Genomic DNA, 20,331 nt, shown 5'->3' with positions numbered 1-20,331 from the left:
TTGGAATTTGTGCTGTCTGGATCTTGAAAGCTCCATTCACTCTAAATTAACATTTCCATTCAGTTTTCAAAGATCATGTGCTTCCCTTGCAGTCTAAAGATGAATGGGCAGGTGTAGGAATGTTTTAAACCTGGGTCTGTGCACCAACATTACTACAGTTATATGGTTTCCCTCTTTCCTACTCCTAAACAAGTTTGAAAGGGTATTTAAATGCTTTTGTGAATGTAATGGTTGAAGAAGCATAAAAAATAGGACTAAACTTTAATTGCTTAACACCCTAACTTTTGGATTTTAGGTATTCAGTGGTGCTTCTACTGGTCCCTGGTTTCATTCATTTTTTCTCTCTAAAGTTTGGGACTTTCTGGGGAAAGCTTGCTTGTATTTTGTTTGCCTTGTTGCATTTGACCCTCTGAGGCTGACTGCCCAGCTTTTTCTCCCCCTCCCTCACCAAACTTTTTCTTCCCCAGTCTTTTTTTTTTTTTTTTTTTCTTTTCGAGACAGTCTCACTCTGTCGCCCAGGCTGGAGTGCAGTGGCACAATCTTGGCTCACTGCAACTCCATCTCCCAGATTCAAGTGATTCTTGTGCCTCAGCCTCCCAAGTAGCTGAGATTATAGGTGCTGGCCACCATGCCCAGCTAATTTTTGTATTTTTAGTAGAGACGGGGTTTCACCATGTTGGCCAGGTTGGTCTCAAACTCCTGATCTCAGGTAATCTGCCCACCTTGGCCTCGAAAAGTGCTGGGATTACAGGTGTGAGCCGCTGTGCTGGGCCTCTTCCCAGTCTTTGGATATACTTTCCCTTGTCAGTCTAAAGAAAGGTAATGGTACAGATCTGACATTAAATAAGCAAAATACAGTGTGGAGTGTGCTTTGAGGACATTCTCAAAATCCCAGTTCTTCCCTTGTCCCCTGCACAATTCCCTCCTTTCTCTCAGGTGACAGTTCTGAGGAGTTGCAGCTGCATATATATTTGTTGTGGCTATGAACAACAGTGAATAGAAAATACATTCAATCAGCAACTTATGGGAAATGACAGGAGGTGGTTTTCTCTATCCTCCTTACCCTCTCCTCTCATATACAAGGTGGGTGGAGTTTTGTGTAAAGGTCACTAGGGTTTCTGAAACCAGGTGTCTGCCCTTACGGAACCCAGTGATCATTGTTGGATGACAGCATGAGTCCTTATAATGTAATAACTGGAATTTATTGCATGCTGACTATATGTTGCTGTGCATGACGTTAAATGGTTCACTCAGTTTACCCATTTAACCCTTTTGACTACTCGTTGAGGCAGGTACTATAATTTCTAGTTTAAGTTCAGAGTCTCAAAGTAACTTGCTCAAAGTCACACAGCAAGTGAGAATCAGAATCAGGATTTGATCCTTAGTCTCTCTGACTTCACAGCCCAGCTGTGCTCTGAATCACTGAGTGACACCAGACCACGCAGGATTCCCTATCTGATTACTCCCCTTGTATAGGCAATGTATCACTTTTTTTTTTTTTTTTTTTTGAGATGGCATCTCGCTCTGTTGCAAGGCTGGAGTGCAATGGTGCAATCTTGGCTCACTGCAACCTCTGCCTGCCGGGTTCAAGAGATTCTCCTGCCTCAGCCTCCCAAGTAGCTGGGACTACAGGCATGTGCCACCACGCCTGGCTAATTTTTTGTATTTTTAGTAGAGAGGGGGTTTCACCGTGTTAGCCAGGATGGTCTCAAACTCCTGACCTTGTGATCCACCCGCCTGGGCCTCCCAAAGTGCTGGAATTACAGGCGTGAGCCACCGCACCAGGCCAATGTATCACTTTTGCTCATAAATCATAAGAGCACATGCTTATGTAGACTTAACATGCACCAGGTACCACTGTAAGCACTTTACAAGTGTTGACTTATTTAATCTACCTAGTGACTCTCTGAAGGACACAACAGGTTATCACTGCCATTTTACAGAGGAGGAAACTCAGGCCCTGAGAAGTAAATTTCCCCAGTGTGACACAGTTAAGGGACGGAAGTGGTGTTCAAATTCAGGCAATACAGCTCCAGAATCCATCCTCCTACCCTCTGCACTTGCTTTCTCTCTAGATGGATAAGTGCCATTCTCTTTGTGAAGGTGGCATCTGTCCTCAGTCTCACTCAAGGATGGTCTCCTATTTCCCACAGTTGTGAAAGAAGTCAGTTATCCATTAGTTTTACCTGTAGCTTTCAACAGAAAGTTCTTAGTGGTTTGGGACAGCGTTTTCCCTGAAGGCCATTATCAGAAGCAGGCTTGAGCATTCTCCTGAAGTTCTAACACACAGAGCAGTTGTCTTTCAAACTCCAGACTCCTCCAGTTTTGTCTTTACCACTGGGTGTGAACTGTTGGGGTGAAGTTCAGCCCAGGCACCTAAAGAATTGCAGGGCAGAGACCTTTCTCCCTGTCCATCCAGACCCAGAAAGAATGACTGCTTCCAGGACCACCCTGGTTTGGGCTTGCCCAGAGGGAAGGTACCAGGGAAAAGTTCTTCTGTCAGTGTAGGGAGTAGTGGGGTCCAACCTTACTAGGCACAATTTCCCCCCTAATTTCTACCTAGAAAAGGCAGCTAGCTGGGCCTTTTCTGCTGTCTTTCCTTCCCAGAGTCCCTTTGCCTCATCTTTTTGCTGACTTCCTCGGAGACCCCAGTCCTTGACTATACCGACTTCACATATGATCCTCATGGCTACTTTGAAAAGTTCTGTGCACTGCGTTTGAAAAATATTCCCATGCACACTGATTGTTTCTTTTAGGCATTCTAGCCCTTTCCCTTTCCTTTTGCTCTTTTATTAGGTTTGCATATTCTTCTTTAGCAACTGTGCTACGAATTTAAATGAAGATATTTCCTTTTGCTGTACTTTTGCCTGTTAGCAGGTGAAACCACTCCGACTCTGGAAGCAATCATTCAATGTTAGTCTGTTTTGAACTGGATGTGATGATTCACAAATGGTGACATTGACAGTGGAGCCTGTTACAAGTAGATTATTTTTCATATGAGAGAAACTTCCTCAGCAGCCATAGAGTTTCTGGGAAATCTTGGGTTCCATAACTCAGTGGGAAGTGCCGATCTACCACTTGGGTTGGCCTTCAACATAGACAGAAATCAGATGACAGCCCATGCCCAAGAAAATAAAATTGTAATTAATAATGCCTCTTTTCACTTGTGTACCTATGTACATTGTACACTGCCTTTTCCCTTAGTAGAAAATCAATATTTGTTTCCTGCAATGATAGGCAGAAGGTGGAAGGTCTGAAACGGCTTCCAGGGTGATGGGCAATGTTATCAAAGCCACAGGCTTGAATTAAACTCGTCTCCAGGGAGGAGGAAAAATCTAGTTCCAAATATTCCTGTAACTTTTGTGCTGACCAAGTGTTTATTAATAGAAATGGAATCCCCAGTGGGTTTTTCTTTGGTTAGCTGGTGAGCTTGAGAGAAATTACAATACCAAGAGAGTGACTGTGAAATAATTATTCATTATGGCCTGCTGGGCAGAAATTTCTAGGCAGGCAGGCTGCAAAGCACCTCAAAGGGAGGAGCACAGGAAAAGGGTGTGTGGAAGTCTGGCTGCACCCTCTGTTAAGTTATTAGGTAGAGGTACACCCACAGAGGCCTTTCTGTTGGTGTGGGACACAGCTATTACCGAAAAAGCTGGAAACATGAATTCTAATCACAGATGCCAGTTATGTCTACTTTGAGCCTTTTTATTTTTTATCCTCTGGGGGCAGCTCTTTACTTCTTCCAAGATGTTACCTGGCCAGCCAGCAGCTACGTGGCAGAGGTGACCCTGATCTCAGCCAGGTTAGATGGTTCTATTCCCTTGATGACACAAATTATTCTGCTGAATATAATAAACAGACTTAAAGATGAAAATGTGCTTGAATCACACATGCGTTTGAAGAGTGGAGGAGTTCTCATCTAGATAACAGCTGAGGCTTTTTTTCTTCCTTTCTTTTTGTGCAGAGGTCGAGAACTTAATAATACTGCAGTTCAGGCCAAAACAAACTCTATATGATCTACTACTGATTTCCTTTTAAGCTCCCCCTTTTTGCTAGGACTGACTTCCTTTTATTTTACTCCAACTTGCATTAATCCCAGTTATAGAAGTTTCTTTCCTCTTTCCTTTGCCTCCAACTTCAAACATTCTTACATAGGAAACAAGTGACTTTAAAAAAAATCTACTTAAAAAATATAAAGGACACCATGACTTTTGGAATACATTTTGGCAGCCTGCAATTTGAAAGTTCACTTCCGAACAGGCAGAGTTAGACGGTTGGAGCTGAAATGCCTACGTGACCACAGTGGTCGCTGTAAGCCAAACCACCTGCTTATCTGATCTCCTCTGGGAATGAGGTGGTGGCACCTACAGTGGTTATTGAGTAATTAGATGCTTCATTTGCCAGAGGCTCTATATTCCTTGAACGAAGCTGCCTCTTTCCATGGGCTTCCATGATGAGAGCTGGGTGTTGAGCGATTGCCCAAAGAGATCAGAGCCTGAGCATGCTTCGGCCCAGTATTTTTAGCTCCAGTTCACATTTTTGTCCCCTCCCCAGCAGCCGTTATTGTCATTGCTGTCATTGACTTCCATTTGAAAGGCCGTGCCAGCCAGGCCCACTGACTGAGCAGCTGAGGAGCCCCAGCCAGCAAAAGGCAGGATGTGGTTAAAACTGTGCTCTGATCCTATCTCTGGCCTCAGGAAACCTATTAGTAGCTTGGGGATTTTCTGAAAGTCCTTCTGTCCCATACATCCTCCCCACCTTCTCTCCTCTTCTGAGAGTTTGCAGGCTAAGCTATCAGGACAGCTAGAATGGCAAAGGGGGCTTCTATTGGGATCTTGGCACTCTGCCCTTAGTGAGCTGAAGAGGACACATGGGGCATCTTGCAGCATCGTCATTTTCTAGAGACTGAGTAGGTCATGATGCTCCCTTGAGCATATTCTCTTTCACCTCCAGACTCTTGTCTGTATTATTGTTATTATTATTATTATATAAATGGTAATGAGAGGATGAGGCTCAGGATGCCTTCATAGGGGCAGGGCAGAGTGAGGGTGGGGGCTCAGGCATGCCAGCACTGGGCATCTCTCTGTGCCTCAACCCTCATCTAATAAATGGGGACTCAGAATTACATCTGCCTCACAAAGTTGTGAGCAGTATTGAGAATGTGTGAAAGTGCTGTGCAAAATTTGGTAGGTTAGAACAAATTAAAGTAATTAAAGTATATTATCTGTATCATCTTCAAAGGGCCATTGAGGGCATTACCTTTTATGGGCCTCACAACATTTCTGTACAGTTAGACTGATGGAGATTAATATTCCCATTGAACAGATGAGAAAACTGAGGGGCAGGGAGCTGAACTGATTTGCTCAATGTCCCAAAACTTATAGAACATCACTGTCCAATAGAAACATAACACAAGCCATACATGTAATTTGAAATTTGCTAGTAACCACATTCAAAAAATAAGAAGCTGTGGAATTAATTTTTCAAATAGCATATTTGACTCAATATAGCAAAAAATCTTATCATTTTAATGTGTGGCATGAGTCACATGTGGCCAGTGTATACCATATTAGACAGTACAGTACACACTAGAAAAAGTCATATACGTAAGACATAGACCTTGTATTTGAGAAGATTTGCCTTCTGAGGGCCAAGAAAATGCCATTAAAAATATTGGCCAGGCACGGTGGCTCATGCCTGTAATCTCAGCACTTTGGGAGGCTGAGGCGGGTGGATCACCTGAGGTTAGGAGTTTGAGACCAGCCTGACCAACATGGTGAAACCCCATGTCTACTAAAAATACAAAAATTAGCCGGGCATGGTGGCAGATGCCTGTAGTCCCAGCTACTTGGGTGGCTGAGGCAGGAGAATTGCTTGCGCATGGGAGACTGAGGTTGCAGCGAACTGAAATAGCGCCACTGCACTCTAACCTGGGCGACAGAGTGAGACTCCGTCTAACGGAAAAAAATGTTTATTTTCTCTTTGGGGTACTTCCTTACAGAGACCTTAGGAATCAACCAGACTATTCTTTAAGTCTGTGAGAAAATTTCCAACTCATAAAGTTAGATATTTGGGATTCATTCACCCTTCTGCATCAGCGTCTGTCACTCATCTTTCTTTCCCAGTTCTCTTGAAAATTATGATTTTCTGAGTTGTGAAAGGATGAAATAATTTCAGAAAGATCCCATATCCCCAAAGGGCCTAGGAAAATTGTCAACTGGGGCTGAGTGATTTTAGTTGGTGAACAATTTTTAAAAAATTAGTGACAAAAATATAGAGCTGCCTGGGGAATACAATGCCTGTTGGCTGAGATTAATGGTAAGATTAATAAATGGATTGCTTGATGAAAAGGCGCAGGAGAACAAAAACCAGTAGAGAGATTGTGGAGGAGGCCGCTTATTAATGAACTGTCAGCCCAAAGAAAGTTCAAGAAACTCTCCTGTGGTAAATGCTGCAGGCTGGCACTTCTAATAAAAGTTGGGGTCCTTCAGGAATTAATTACTCCAGCCTTACAGCAAGAATTTGTGGAATTGCAAAATGTTGTGGCACAGACCAGTACGGGCTGCTGCTACAAACAGGGAAGCTGCAGGAGAAACTCATCATTTTTTTTCATTGATATGTAGGATATTGTAGTAGCATAATAGCCAGTCAGACACGGGGATGAGTGACGGCGTCCAGATACACACTGACTAATGAAACGGCACATACTTTGAGTTTGAAGTCACTTCACTTTTCATATGCAAAATTCCCTCCTGGAATCTGATTTCCTCCTTATCCTGTGTACCCACCACTAAGGAGTTCCAAATAATTTTCAGAGTTATTATATGAGAGTCAGATGGACTCTGCCATGATTTATCACGCTATGCGGACAGAGAGCACAGAATTCATTTATTCTGAGTTGCTGTAATTTCCCTCTCCCCTCCTCAAGTTCCCAGTTATGCTTGGCCTGAAAAAAGCCTTTCTGAATTAAAATTTGGTGTTGCCTCTGCCCAGTGAAGCAGCTTAAAAGAATGCCATGACCAGACAGAGATGGTCCTATATCTGCAATCTGATACCACACATCGGATATTAAATGCCTCTTATCTTTTTTCATTTCTGCCATGAAGGTAGAGTGAAATTTTTCTTCTGTAAAGTGTTTAGACCAAGAGGTCCCAGAAAAACTCTTGGTCTCTTGGGTCTCAAATTTCATAATTAACCATTTCAGTTCAGGCATAAATTTATTCCTGATGGAGCTTGGTAATTTAGGAGATTTCTGGCAATTGATTCATGTGCTAATTTTCTAGGAATGAGATAAATACAGAGGGGACAGAACAGCTTTTTGTTGGTTTACATAGCGGTGTAAGACTTCTTTGGAGTCTTAATGTAAATGATAAGCCATTTCCCTCATAGAGTCTTATAGAACTGGGCTCTTTTTTTTTTTTTTTAATTTGACTTGTACCAGGATTATAAAACATATAGAAAATGATTCCTTCCGCTGTGCATAGAGTTTATCATCGTCTTTCTTCTGCTTGTCACATCCTTGCTTTTTAGACCATTTATCACCCATCACTCTGACTTTTCAGACCCTCATAATCCACATGATACTTATCCTTTTGATTAAAACAACTTAATGGCCTTTTCACGAATAATTAATCTGCTGTCTTTACTTTCAGCTCCAGGCTTTTAACTTTAATGTTGAGTTATCCAGCCTGTGTTGCCTTTCAAAGTTTCACTCCCCTTAGCCTTTTCCCCTCAAAGGTTTAATACTTCTTTAGAAACTTCAATAGTTGCTATACAAAGGTTTTAAAAAATGCTTCTGAGTTACTCTCACATCCCTTCTGCTGTGTATGAAGTGTATAACTGTGCAGAGATCAGTGGGATGAAATGAAAATAATTCAGATTTGCATATTCTGTCATTCTGGAAAATGTGGAGGCTTGCACTTTCAAGAAAAGTTAAAACTCCATTGCTTTTGAAGAAACAGTTGTGTATTATTTTGTGGTTATGTGTTTCTAACTCTAGATGTTTTTCTAACAGTGACAATTTATACCAAATGACATCCCAGCTTGAATGCATGACCTGGAATCAGATGAACTTAGGAGCCACCTTAAAGGGGTAAGGTTTTCTCTATTCCATTGCCTTTCCACAGTAACTTATACCTGTTTGAACCATTTCAAAGGTGCTTAGAACTTATGAAGAAAGTACAGTTTTAGAAGAAAGGGCAAAGCTCTCTGTGACATTAGAACGCTTTCCTCCTTCCCCTAGTTGGTGAGTTGTGTTCAGTATTAAATTTTCAAAAACATAAATGTGGGTTGTTTCTATCTGGAACAAGGAATATTGAGGACACTTATTATGGTCTTGTTGAATGTTTTATAATTCTTCAAAGGCTATTCAACCTCATTTAATAATTGTGTTTTACTATGATATCACAGTTGTTAACCATTCCACTATCTTATCAAGAAGTGCTTTGGGTGTGCAAAGTCCGGGATCCAAATTTGTATTTGTGTGATGCTGATCTGGGCAATTCACAGTCAGATACGCCCATACCTGATTGCACCAACAGGGTTTTTCTTTCCATACTTGATAATACAACCATAATAGGGAGAATACAGCCAGGAAACATCAGAAGGAGCTACTCTTTGCACCTAAAAATGAAAAAATAAAAAAAAGAAGGCAGGTGGGACTTGCTTTCACCATTGAAAGAGCTCACTTTTCATTTTCTACCAAGTGTGAAGAGATGGGCAGTAGCATAGAACACTCATGAAGTGCCTGCAGCGTGTCAGGTGTCCTTCCAGGTTACCTCATCTTATCTTCCCAACACTCTCATGAGAGCTAAGTACTGCTTGGTTTACAGATAAGTAAACCAAGCTCAGAGGGTTAAGTTACTTCCCAGGTTCACATCCTACTAAGTGCTAGAGCTGGGATGCCAAGTCCAGATCTGATTCCAAAGCCCAAGCTCTTTGCAGCCTCCGGTGGTGCCTTCCACCCCACCATTGGCCCCAGTGGGACTGGGGACTTAGTTCAGCACTCTTGATAGCTAGCTTGATGTCTCTGTGTATTGAGGGGCTTTTCACTGGATTCTGGGATCTGGGGGGCTTGCCAGATCCATGCATGCTCCATTCCCCACTCCCCACCTCTTCTTCTTTTCTAGAGTTGCTGCTGGGAGCTCCAGCTCAGTGAAATGGACAGAAGGGCAGAGCAAGTGAGTGGACAATGCGGAGATGGCAAAGCAAATGGCGTAGGCCTTGCTGACTGGCACCTGGGGCAATGCAGGAGTTAGGACTGACGTGGGTAATCAGGGTAGCATTTGGTGGATGGGAAGAATCTCTCTCCCCCGCCCCCACCTCTTCTTATTCATCATACACATGCTGGGGACAAAATGGAGGGAGTAGCATTTCTCATCAACATGCCCCTGGAAAACAATGTAAAAAATTATGCAGCATCCTGTTCATTTCTTTGTGAATACTTCACAAAATACTAAATACTAAATTTGTGGCATTACAACCATAATGCCACATGTTCCTGTTAGATCAGTCAAAGCTTTCAGTCTTAACTTGCTTCTTCTTTATTTACCTTTAAATCTCTCAGGGAGAACTTACCCTAAGTCTGAGGCCAGGCTTTGAAAAGACTTGTTTTTTGTTGTTTTTCAAAGTTTGTTTTTATTCCCAAACATTCGCACCTTCCCCAGCCCTGTACCCTGCACCTTGGGGAATTTCTGTAGCTGTTTCTTTTTCTTCTCTCTGCTTTAACTCCACAACCAGCCGCCCTCTTTTCTTCTTTATTGTGTGGGCCCAGTCCTGTTATTTGGTTCATCCTTCAGTAATCAACAGAGTTGTATTTCATCTTCCAAGACTTACTGTTAGGTTCTTCACCTCACCCCCGCCCCCAAATTTTTCAGCAGTTTTATCCAGATCTCCTCTTCCTCTCTCTGGACCACAAAGAAAAGGCTTTCTGTTGTTTTAAATTATTTCTCTCCTGTCTTCCATCTGGGGGACTGCTGACAGTTTTAGCATTCTGTCTTTCTACCCATTCTCTTTTCTTTTTGAGACGGAGTTTAGCTCTTGTCGCCCAGGCTGGAGTGCAATGGTGCCATCTCGCTCACCGCAACCTCCACCTCCCGGGTTCAAGCGATTCTCCTGCCTCAGCCTCCCCAGTAGCTGGGATTACAGGCATGTGCCACCACGCCCGGCTAATTTTGTATTTTTAGTAGAGATGGGGTTTCTCCATGTTGGTCAGTCTGGTGTCAAACTCCCGACCTCAGGTGATCCGCCCACCTTGATCTCCCGAAGTGCTGGGATTACAGGCGTGAGCCACCGTGCCTGGCCTTTCTACCTGTTCTTAACTCGTCTTAAGTTCCTTGGCTTCTTGGTCCCACCCTTTCTTTCTGGCTCCCTTCCTTTTCTCCTTTCTCCTCTCCTCAGAACTTGATAACCTTCCCCAAGCTAAATAGCAAGGATAGACAGAACATGATTGTGAAGTGAGCAGTACATTTCAGTTTCAAAAACTTCTTCATGCTGTAATACAGGGGCTTGTTTGTTCAGTTACAAAAATTACAGATAAGGAATTTGGCATGTATTTGCAGCTGGATATTTCCATGGTTAAGATAATTTCGATACTTTTTAAGGTCTTTAGACATGTACTGTTAGTCACTTGCTGAGGAGGCAGAAGCTGTATTATAAGGATGAAGCACAAAGTGTGAACAATTTGTTCTGTTCAATCCTACATAAGAAAAAAATGAGAAGAGTTTTCATTGGTCCGTTACTTACATCTTAGAAAGGATTTCTGAAATAAAAATGTATTTCTTTTTTTTTTTTTTTTTGATATGGAGTCCCACTCTGTCACCCAGGCTGGAGTGCAGTGGCACGATCTTGGCTCACTGGAACCTCTGCCTCCTGGGTTCAAGTGATTCTCCTGCCTCAGCCTCCTGAGTAGCTGGGATTACAGGCATCTGCCACCATACCTGGTTAATTTTTGTATTTTTGGTAGAGACAGGTTTTCGCCATGTTGGCCAGGCTGGTCTTGAACACCTGACCTCAGGCGATCCGCCACACTTGGCCTCCCAAAGTGCTGAGATTACAGGTATGAGCTGCTGCGCCCTGACTAAAAATGTATTTCTTGGCCTGGCATGGTGGCTCACGCCTATAATCCCAGCACTTTGGGAGGCTGAGGTGGGTGGATCACTTGAGCTCAGGAGTTTGAGATCAGCTTGGACAATGTGGTGAAAACCTTTCTCTACAAAAAATACAAAAAAATTAGCCAGACGTGGTGGCACATGCCTGTAACCCCAGCTACTTGGAATGCTGAGGTGGGCGGATTGCTTGAGCTTGGGAGGCGGAGGTTGCAGTGAGCCAAGATCAGGCCACTGCATTCCAGCCTGGGCGATAGAGTGAGACCCTTCCACAAAACAAAACAAAACAAACAAACACAATATATATGTATATTTCTCGAATATTAACTTTATTCAGGGAGCTGTTATAAAAAGGGCTAGATGGCCCAACAGATAGTTCCACAAAAGAACAACTGTTTTGCAGAGCAAAAATTACAATTAGCTAATTGCCTACCATCTTCTCTCACACTGTAGAACATACTGTAAATCCACGAATTTCCGCTTCCATTTTGTGAACTGGACATTTATCTAAGGATGTATATAAACAGTATTGGGTGCCGTGTGAGGGGCTGTACATGTTTCCTCTTCTGATCTGATCTTACAACACCCCCAGGACACTATGGCCACATCCAATTTTTTAGCTGAGGAGGTGGAGAGATTAAGCTATCTAACCAAGGTCACATAGTAAGTGAGTGGCAGAGCCATGTTGGAATCAGTTCTGTCTGACTCCAGGACCTGGGCCCTAGATTAGAGCTTCTTAAATGGGTGGAAACCTTTTAGACTGTGACCACAGTTAGAAATACCCTTTACAGTGAGATCCCATATACACACATGTGCACACACATACACACACACAACATAGATTTTCACTGAGCAATACTCTTATGACATGCTCTGCATGCTGACTTTTTCTCTCTATCCTATTTCATTTTTTAAAATGCTGATTGTGATGTACTAGATTGATTTTACAACCCACTGATGTGTCATGACCCACAGTTTGCCTCACTTTTAGCATTCAAACATGGTGACACCTTGGCTGTCTCCTCCAAACTCATGAACAGCCCAGAACTGGATTTAGTTGAATCTGTAATTCCAGTAGAAAGTTTGGCCTTTCCCCAGGGGAGACCAATCTGGGTTGGGGTCATTGTTCTTTGTGATACTGGATTTACTTTCTTTTGCCATGGTATGAAAAGTATTAATATGGAGAATACATTTGAGAAAAGGTATTCCATGAAGACAAATTCAGACACATAACTTTTTGTGTTCATTCATAACTAGTGTCTTGACACTGTTTGAAATCAATGTTAAGAAAAATCATGTGACAAGGTTGATCTATTACAGGAAAAACTGGTGATTTGGTTCATGTTTTAGAGAAGAAAGATGTAATTTCCATATCACTCATAAAAAAGAGGCATTATCAATTTTTTATTAAAAGATCATGCACCTCAGACTAAACCCCACTAAATGCTGGTTCGGGTCTTCTTTCCTTGAAAATGTTTCGTTTCAAAAAAGTGGCTTCACAAAGAATAGGTTTGTTTCCTTGTATCCCAAGCAAGTCCACGGAGACATCTTTCATTAGATGTCAGGGAGCAGTGTTACAATGGGTGGGGATAGGATTTTATAAAGAACATGGGCAGATGAAATGAAAACTTGCTGTGTTAGAGGTGGGATATACTTGTGTGACTGAACCGCTCCTTTCTCCTCCTTCTCCCTTTACTCATTTTCTAATTTCTGCATACCCACTGGGATCACAGCTACTTTTATGACCTCCAATGGGAGAATGTATTTCAATTTAAGTCAGTGAGAAGGTACTTTACGGAAAGTACTTTCTTCTCCCTCACCCCCAAACAAATGAAATTAGATTTTTAAAGTGGGTCCCTGGGAGAAAACGTTGCTGGGGAATCTTTCTGAGTATGAGTCCACCATTTTGAAGCCTTCTATTGATGGTGCCTTGTGTTATCTGCTTTCTATTTCTTTGAAAACATTTTCTGTGTGTTCTCAATGGCTGCTGATTTCCGAACAAGCCTCTCCTACCCTGTTGGCCTCTGTTTTGTCTCTTCTGAAGAAAATATCCTGCAAAATGGAGAAACACATCAACCTTGACTGTGATCCAAGTTATTAAAACAAGGAAGAAGTTATTCTCTGGGGACTCGGGTAGGGGGAGTGGGAAATCGAACACAATAGAAATGTGAAAGGAGTGCTCAGCAAAATGAATGTCCCTTTGCTGGTCCAAGAAGTTCACAGGCTGTTGGGAACACACAGTATTCAACCTGTGGATGCTTGAGAGGAAAAACAAAAAAGACTCAACAATGAGTGATGTGTGGTGAAAACAAAGCTGTGCGTTTTGGTAGGGCCAAGGCTGTCGAATCTGGAGAAAATCCCCGCTAGACATGGTCTCATCCCTGAGAACCTGTGCCAAAAGAGATAGCTGTCTTCTCTGGCTGGGAGCTCCAATACACAGCCCAGCACCTTCCCTCGCGGGCTCGTGAACATAAGGTATCCGTCCAAGAGATTTACTTCTTGGAAATAGATAGCTTGCTTTTAAGTGGCTCCCGGAGCCTGAGATGCAAAGTGAAGGTGGGGAGCCTCAGTTCTGTGAATATCAGCATTGCCGAGCCTACTCCATCTCCACCCCCAGCAACAAGTTATTAATTTTCCACCGTTTAAAGTTTCATTTAATGCCATTTAAAGAGTTTTTTTTCTTTATTATTGCCTTGCATTGGACTTGGCCTGAGGTCTGTTAACCCTGCCAACCAGAACGAAGAATGGGACTCCAGGGTTTGATAAAGATGGAGACTCGTGACTTAGCTCTGTGTCCCTCTCACTTAGTGTGGACTGATTCGGAAGCTTCTTTCCTTTGCTTCTCACTTTTCTGCTTCTTCTTTCTCCTCCCTGGCTGTTGGCCTTTTCTATCCTTTTATTTTTGGACATGCATTTGATGAATGTATTGAATTTTTTTATTATGTAAGTAATGTGTATAAATTATAGAACAGTTAGAAAATACAACTACGCAGAGAAGGAAATTAAAACTCCCCCCAAAAGCCTAGATGAAACTATGATGATAATGATGTTGCACAAAATTTTAGACCCTTTCCTGTCCATGCATGTACATTTGTGTCATTTTCTTTCTTACAAAAATGATTGGCTTCAGGTGAGATTCAATTCAGCAAATGCATATTTATAGGCCATCACGAAGTTGTCATGATAGCTTTGACTTCTTGAAAATATTCTCAGCCTCTTAAAAAATATTTATGGGCTCTGCAGACTTACCTCCATACCATGATTCTAACTATTTTATTTTAAAGCAAGGAATTATTTTCATCTTGTGGAGGTGAGGAAAAATGCTAGGTTTGTTTAGATCTGGAGAAGAAAGGAGCTGAATAGGAAAGATAGGAAAGAAAGGTTGGGATGGAGAAGGGGCCAAGTTGGAAATGAGAAACAGTGATTGTAGCACAGGGAGGTGAAGTGAGGTTAATGAGGATTGATAAAAGTGTGTGTGTGTGTGTGTGTGTGTGTATTGGAGAGGGAGAGGTTACATCAGATGAGTGGAAGATACCTTAATGATCCAAAGCAGTATTTGGACTTCTCCTATCCCTGATCTCTTCTGAGACCCTCTACTCACCATTTATCCTTCTGCCTGTCATCTGCCCAAGAAAAGATCATAACCTCTAGGTAGAAGAACATTGATCTGGAAGCTACACTAATAAAAAGTTATCCAGAAAAGTGTTTCTCTGAAACAAGGAGCTACTGCATATTTTAGTAGGAGTTTTTCTATTAAAAGCGAACAAGTTTATTTATTCTAGCTTTATTTCTAACTCTTCATTTTTAAAACAACAGATGTAGTTCTGTATGCCTAGATGGCGACTTTATCTAAAATGAAAACAGTTATTTTCTCCTTGATTATAAAAGTCACACAGGCTTATCATTTTTTAAAAAATTCAGACGGGACCAAAACATTATAAAGAGGAAAAGAAAATTAATCTGTTGTCTCACCACCCAGAGATAACTGTTTAAAAAAACATTTTGAGGTGTATTTATATCTTCAGAGAAAAAATTCTGGAAACATTTATCAGACTATTAATTGCAGTTACCTCTAAATATATTAGACGGAAGAGACAAAAGCCTGAAACAGATGGATTTAAGAGACAAGGAGAGGAGGTAAAGATCATGCTTTCATGGAGTTCTGCTGCAAAAGGGAGCAAAAAAATGGGGTTCTAGCTGGCTGGGGAAAGAAGGTCGGGAGAAGGAGTGGTTTTGTTTTAAATTGTTCTGCTTTTATTTAGTTATTTATCTTTAGATAGAAGTATCTGTATGTTTGTTTGCTGATGAGAATGATCAAGAGGAGGAAAAAATGGGGCAGGCATGGTGGCTCACACCTGTAATCCCAGCACTTTGGGAGGCCGAGGCAGGTGGATCACTTGAGGTCAGGAGTTTGAGACCAGCCTGGCCAACGTGGCGAAACCCTGTTCTCTACAGAAATACAAAAATTAGCTGAGCATAGTTGCACACACCTGTAATCCCAGCTGCTCGGGAGGCTGAGGCAAGAGAATTAATTGCTTGAACCCAGGAGGCGGAGGTTGCAGTGAGCCGAGATCGTGCCACTGCACTCCAGTGTGGGCAACAGAACAAGACTCTGTCTCAAAAAATACAAAAATAAAAAAAGAAAAGGAAAAAAAGAGGAGGAAAAAAATGGTCAATGGGAGGGGACAGAATCACTGGAACAGTGTCCTTGAAGGAGGTGGGAGAGAAGGGGCTCCATAGATAAGTTGGTGGGGCTGGCTTTAGCCAGAAGCTGGGATAGATCATCTAGTAACAATATTAATTTATAAGAGTTCTTTCTGCCAGGCTCGGTGGCTCATGCTTGTAATCTCAGCACTTTGGAAAGCTGAGGCAGGAATTCAAGACCAGCCTGGTCAATATAGCAAGATCTCATCTCTATAGAAAACAAAAAAATTAAAAAATTAGCTGGGCATATTGGCATGCCTATAGTCCCAGCTACTTGGGAGGCTGAGGTGGGAGGAGTGCTTGGGCCCAGGAGTTTGAGGCTGCAGTGAGCTATGATGATGCCACTGCACTCCAGCCTGGGCAACAGAGACCATCTCTCTAAAAATAATAATAATAAAGAAAAAGTGCTTTCTTTATAAGAGTTATTTTGCTTGTCATATGTAATGAAAATATTTTCTCTGGTTTGTATTTTAATTCTGTTAATGGTTTTTTTCTGTCAGATATTTTTATTTTATGGTAAAAATAGTAAGTTTTTGTCTTACAGTTTCAAGTTTTTGACTTTTCGATCATGCTTAGACTTTTCCCATCCCAAGCATTTTAAAATATTTAATTATTTCTGGTATTTTTTAAATTTTACTTTTTAAAATAAAGAGATGGAGCATGTCACACTCAAGCAAATAATAAAATAATATTTATGTTGATCTAGGGGCATCTGTGCCAGGTTGCCAGCAGCTCTGAATGTGGATAATCCAGTATCTATTCATTCCCCAAATAAGATCTGATAAGTGCATATGAAAGTGACTTCTGAAATTACTTTACTGTGGCTACAGGGAAATTGGATATTCATTGAGTAAAGTGTTAAACCTAAGCACTGTGGCATAACCACTGAGAATTCCTAGGGAATACTCCTGGATCTTTTGACCCTAAGTCTCTTAGGGCTGATTAATTCAAGTCCAGCAATCTGTGGTTCATACGAGTACACAGTAAGTACAGAGTACAGTATTTACACGGAGGTTTATTGTTTTGTTGTATTTTGTTTTATTTGGTAGTTGTCCTCTCCTAAGTCTAGCTTATATTATAACAGCCCCCTCCTCCCTTTTCTTCTCAGACTATTGGTTTATTGGAAATAGCAGGTCAGTTTTCTGGTAGAATATCCCACAGTCTGGATTTGGCAGATTGTTTTATCTTACAGTCTTTTAAACTTGGTCCTCTCTCCCCTGTGTTTCTTTTTTTCTGTTCTTTCTCTTTCTTCCTCTCTCTCTCTCATTCTTTCCCTCCCTTCCTCTGCCTTCCTTCTTTTCTTTTTTCTTTCTTTCTTTTTTTTTTTTTTTTTTTTTTTTTTTTTAAGACGTAGTCTCCTTCTGTTGCCCAGGCTGGAGTGAAATGGCCCAATCTTGGCTCACCGCAACCTCCACCTCCTGGGTTCAAGTGATTCTCCTGCTTCAGCCTCCCAAGTAGCTGGGACTACAGGTGCCCGCCACGACACCCGGCTAATGTTTTGTATTTTTTAGTAGAGACGGGGTTTCACCATGTTAGCCAGGATGGTCCTGATCTCCTGACCTCAAGGGATCTGCCTGCCTCAGCCTCCCAAAGTGCTGGGATTACAGGCGTGAGCCACTGCGCCCAGCATTTTTTTTTTTTTTTTTCTGAGATGGAGTTTCACTCTGTAGCCAGGCTGATGCGATCTCGGCTCACTGCAACTTCCGACTCCCTGGTTCAAGCGATTCCCCTGCCTTAGCCTCCCGAGTAGCTGGGATTACAGGCAAATGCCACCATGCCCAGCTAATTTTTGTATTTTTAGTAGAGATGAGTTTTCACCATGTTAGCCAGGCTGGCCTCAAGCTCCTGACCTCAAATGATCCGCCTGCCTCAGCCTCCCGTAGTGCTGGGATTACAGGCATGATCCACCGCGCCTGGCCTCCCCTGTATTTCCTAGAGGCTTGATTCGATTTGGGTTTCTTTTTTTATTTTCTTTTTTCCTTTTTCTTTCTTTCTTTTTTAGGTAAATGTAATTGATGAGTGGCACTGTGTTCAGCCTCTTCTCTTGTGTTTAAACTTTAAGGAAGCATAGTTTCTTAGCATAGATCCTTAAACAAGGGGGTGATGGTTCTCAAGGCTTGCAGCGGGGTTTATTGTCAACACTGAAAAGAATCAGGCATTTCAGCATCTCACGTATGAGCCCTGAGTATCGAGGGTGGGGAGAGAAGAGGGGTTGATGGGTAAATTCCATGTTTTAGAGACACAAGAGTTTGAATGTCCCCAGGTGCTTCCCTTCAATCTGATTAACTCTGCAGAGGGGAGAAGACGGAGGTGAAGATGGGGGGATGCCTGCCTGGCCAATAACTAGAGGTGGGAGAGAGAAATGACAGGCCGAAATTCCCCCTTTTTGAATATTCATATGAATGCTAATTGCCTTCCAAAGGCTCTTTTTCTTTTCTCTCTTTTACTTCTTCTGTTGATAAGGGATTCCAGGGCGGCTCTGGTTTTCCTCATCTGTAAAACCTCAATTCCTTTTTATTAATCTTCATGTGCCTGTGGAATATCAAAGTTAATCATTTCTAAAGAAGCCACTCTTGCAATGTTAAGTGTTTTGTTTTTTGTTTTTTTGTTTTTTTGTTTTTCCTGAGCCAAATCTCAATGTACGTGTTTTTAGCGGGAAGAGGGCTCACAATTTGTGTTATATGAGGGACATTTTTCTCTTTTTGCAAACTTTCTAAGGAAAGTGTGTATGCATTTTTTGTTTGTTTTTGTTTTTGTTTTTGAGACAGAGTCTCGCTCTGTCGCTGAGGCTGGAGTGCAGTGGTACGATCTTGGCTCACTGCAAACTCTGCCTCCCGGATTCAAGCGATTCTCTCGACTCAGCCTCCCAAGTAGCTGGGATTACAGGCGCCCACCACCCCACCCGGCTAATTTTTGTATTTTTGGTAGAGATGGGGTTTCACCATGTTGGCCAGGCTGGTCTCGAACTCCTGACCTCAGGTGATCCGCCCACCTCGGCCTCCCAAAGTGCTGGGATTACCAGCATGAGCCACTGCACCCGGCCGTGTTTATGCATTTTAAAGCTGTCTAGGAAAAGCAAATTTTCTCAGGATACATTTTTATGCATCTTAAAGCTGTTTAGCAAAATGTACAGTCCAGGCCACTGCCAGAAGTGAAGCGCCAAAGTGCATGCTCTGCTGATAACTGCTTCTGCTTATTTTCCCAGTTCAATAGAAATAAATATATATATTTTTTTTTTGGTGGAGGGTAAACTTCATGCTCTGTTGCACATAAGCAGCCATTTCCATCAGTTAGCCTTGTGCTTTCTTTATACCAAAGGCCCCCAACCCCCGGGCCATGGACCGGTAGTGGTCTGTGGCCAGTTAGGAATTGGTCCTTGCAGCAGGAGGTGAGCGGCAGGCGAGGTAGCAAAGCTTGATCTGTATTTATAGCCACACCATCCCTCGAATTACTGCCTGAGCTCCACCTTCTGTCAGATCAGTGGCGACATTAGATTCTCATGGCAGCATGAACCCTATTGTGAACTACACATGTGAGGGATCTAGGTTGCACTCTCCTTATAAGAATCTAACTAATGCCTGACGATCTGAGGTGGAACAATTTCATCCCAAAACCACCCCCACCTCCACCCCACCCCTGGTCTGTGGAAAAATGACCTTCCAGAAAACTGGTCCCTGGTGCCAAAAACATGGGGGACCACTGCTTTATGCAAAACTACATGTTGTGCCTCCAAGTAGAAGCTGAAGAAGGCTAAAGTGGGAATGTTTCAAACCTGTCCTTCCCCACTCCCCCAACTCTCCTCTACCCTAGTCCTTTCCCTCTACCCCAGTTCACCTTTAAAACCTTCAGCATGCCTAATTTCATTCATCCCGCTGGAGAAAAGAGCTGGGAGTCGTTCAAGTCTCATGATGATAAAAGTGAACCTGTAGGGTGGGGTTAATACCACCAGGATTATCCAGCTCATTTGGAAGGAAGAAAAGCACTGACCTGGACTCAAACTCTAGCTCTGCCACTTGCCATCTGACTGTGGGCAAATAACGCAATGTCTCCTTAAACCTCAGTATTCTTTGCTGTAAAATGGGGATAATACTACATAAGCAACAGTTTAACACTTATTGAGTGCATACCAAGCACTGTGATTTACTTACCTGACCTATTGCATCAGTCTGATGCGGGAAGTGCTGTAATTTTCATTTTACATGAAGCTGAGGCCAGGGAGGAAGTTGTCATTTGTGTAAGGTGATGGAACTTAATGAATGACTCCTAGGGTTCTAAGGATTGAAAAATATATATATTTATGTATAAGTATATATTCTGTATATATTTATATATTCAACATATATTTTATTATACATTTATGAATATATTATATATAACATATATGTATATTAAAAATATATATATTTTTTACAGACAGAGTCTTACTCTTGTCACCCAGGCTAGAGTGCAGTGGTGCCATCTAGAGTGTGTGTTTTATTTGACCCGACAGTGATTCTTTAAAATTTCAATTATTCGCAAGAAC

The 20,331-nt window shown here is 42.1% G+C and overlaps 1 protein-coding gene across 19 annotated transcripts in view, besides 5 other annotated features; it reads left to right on the top strand.

Annotated features, from left to right (window-relative positions):
• Positions 1-1,156: part of a biological region, named in NCBI's record as "WT1 intron 3 regulatory region", that runs on past the window's edge. NCBI's record gives its function as "regulatory_interactions: LOC107982234 | WT1".
• Positions 1-20,331, top strand: part of WT1 (WT1 transcription factor) — a 47,765-nt gene that overhangs the window by 9,871 nt on the left and 17,563 nt on the right. For 9 of the 19 annotated variants that reach the window (NM_001407047.1, NM_001407044.1, NM_001407046.1 and 6 more), the window contains 2 exons: positions 8,015-8,092; positions 9,129-9,179. In NM_001407047.1, the coding sequence (NP_001393976.1) occupies positions 8,015-8,092; positions 9,129-9,179 (129 nt within the window). Of the gene's footprint in view, positions 1-8,014; positions 8,246-9,128; positions 9,180-20,331 lie in introns of all 19 variants that reach the window. The other 10 variants (NM_001407050.1, NM_001407048.1, NM_001407049.1 and 7 more) reach the window with 3 other exon arrangements.
• Positions 369-835: a silencer, noted in NCBI's record as "460 bp 5'delta3S4 fragment". NCBI's record gives the evidence for it as "EXISTENCE:reporter gene assay evidence [ECO:0000049][PMID:7629096]".
• Positions 369-1,156: a silencer, noted in NCBI's record as "reported as 0.91 kb fragment". NCBI's record gives the evidence for it as "EXISTENCE:reporter gene assay evidence [ECO:0000049][PMID:7629096]".
• Positions 500-773: a mobile genetic element. NCBI's record gives its function as "required for silencer activity".
• Positions 4,576-4,625: a silencer, noted in NCBI's record as "silent region_3221". NCBI's record gives its function as "represses an Ori minimal core promoter by ATAC-STARR-seq in GM12878 lymphoblastoid cells {active_cell/tissue: GM12878}" and the evidence as "EXISTENCE:reporter gene assay evidence [ECO:0000049][PMID:35858748]".

Source organism: Homo sapiens, chromosome 11, assembly GCF_000001405.40.
Source record: "Homo sapiens chromosome 11, GRCh38.p14 Primary Assembly".
NCBI classification, from domain to species: Eukaryota; Metazoa; Chordata; class Mammalia; order Primates; family Hominidae; genus Homo; species Homo sapiens.
The sequence above is the reverse complement of the archived record's forward strand: the minus strand, read 5'-3'. Positions and strand labels throughout refer to the sequence as shown.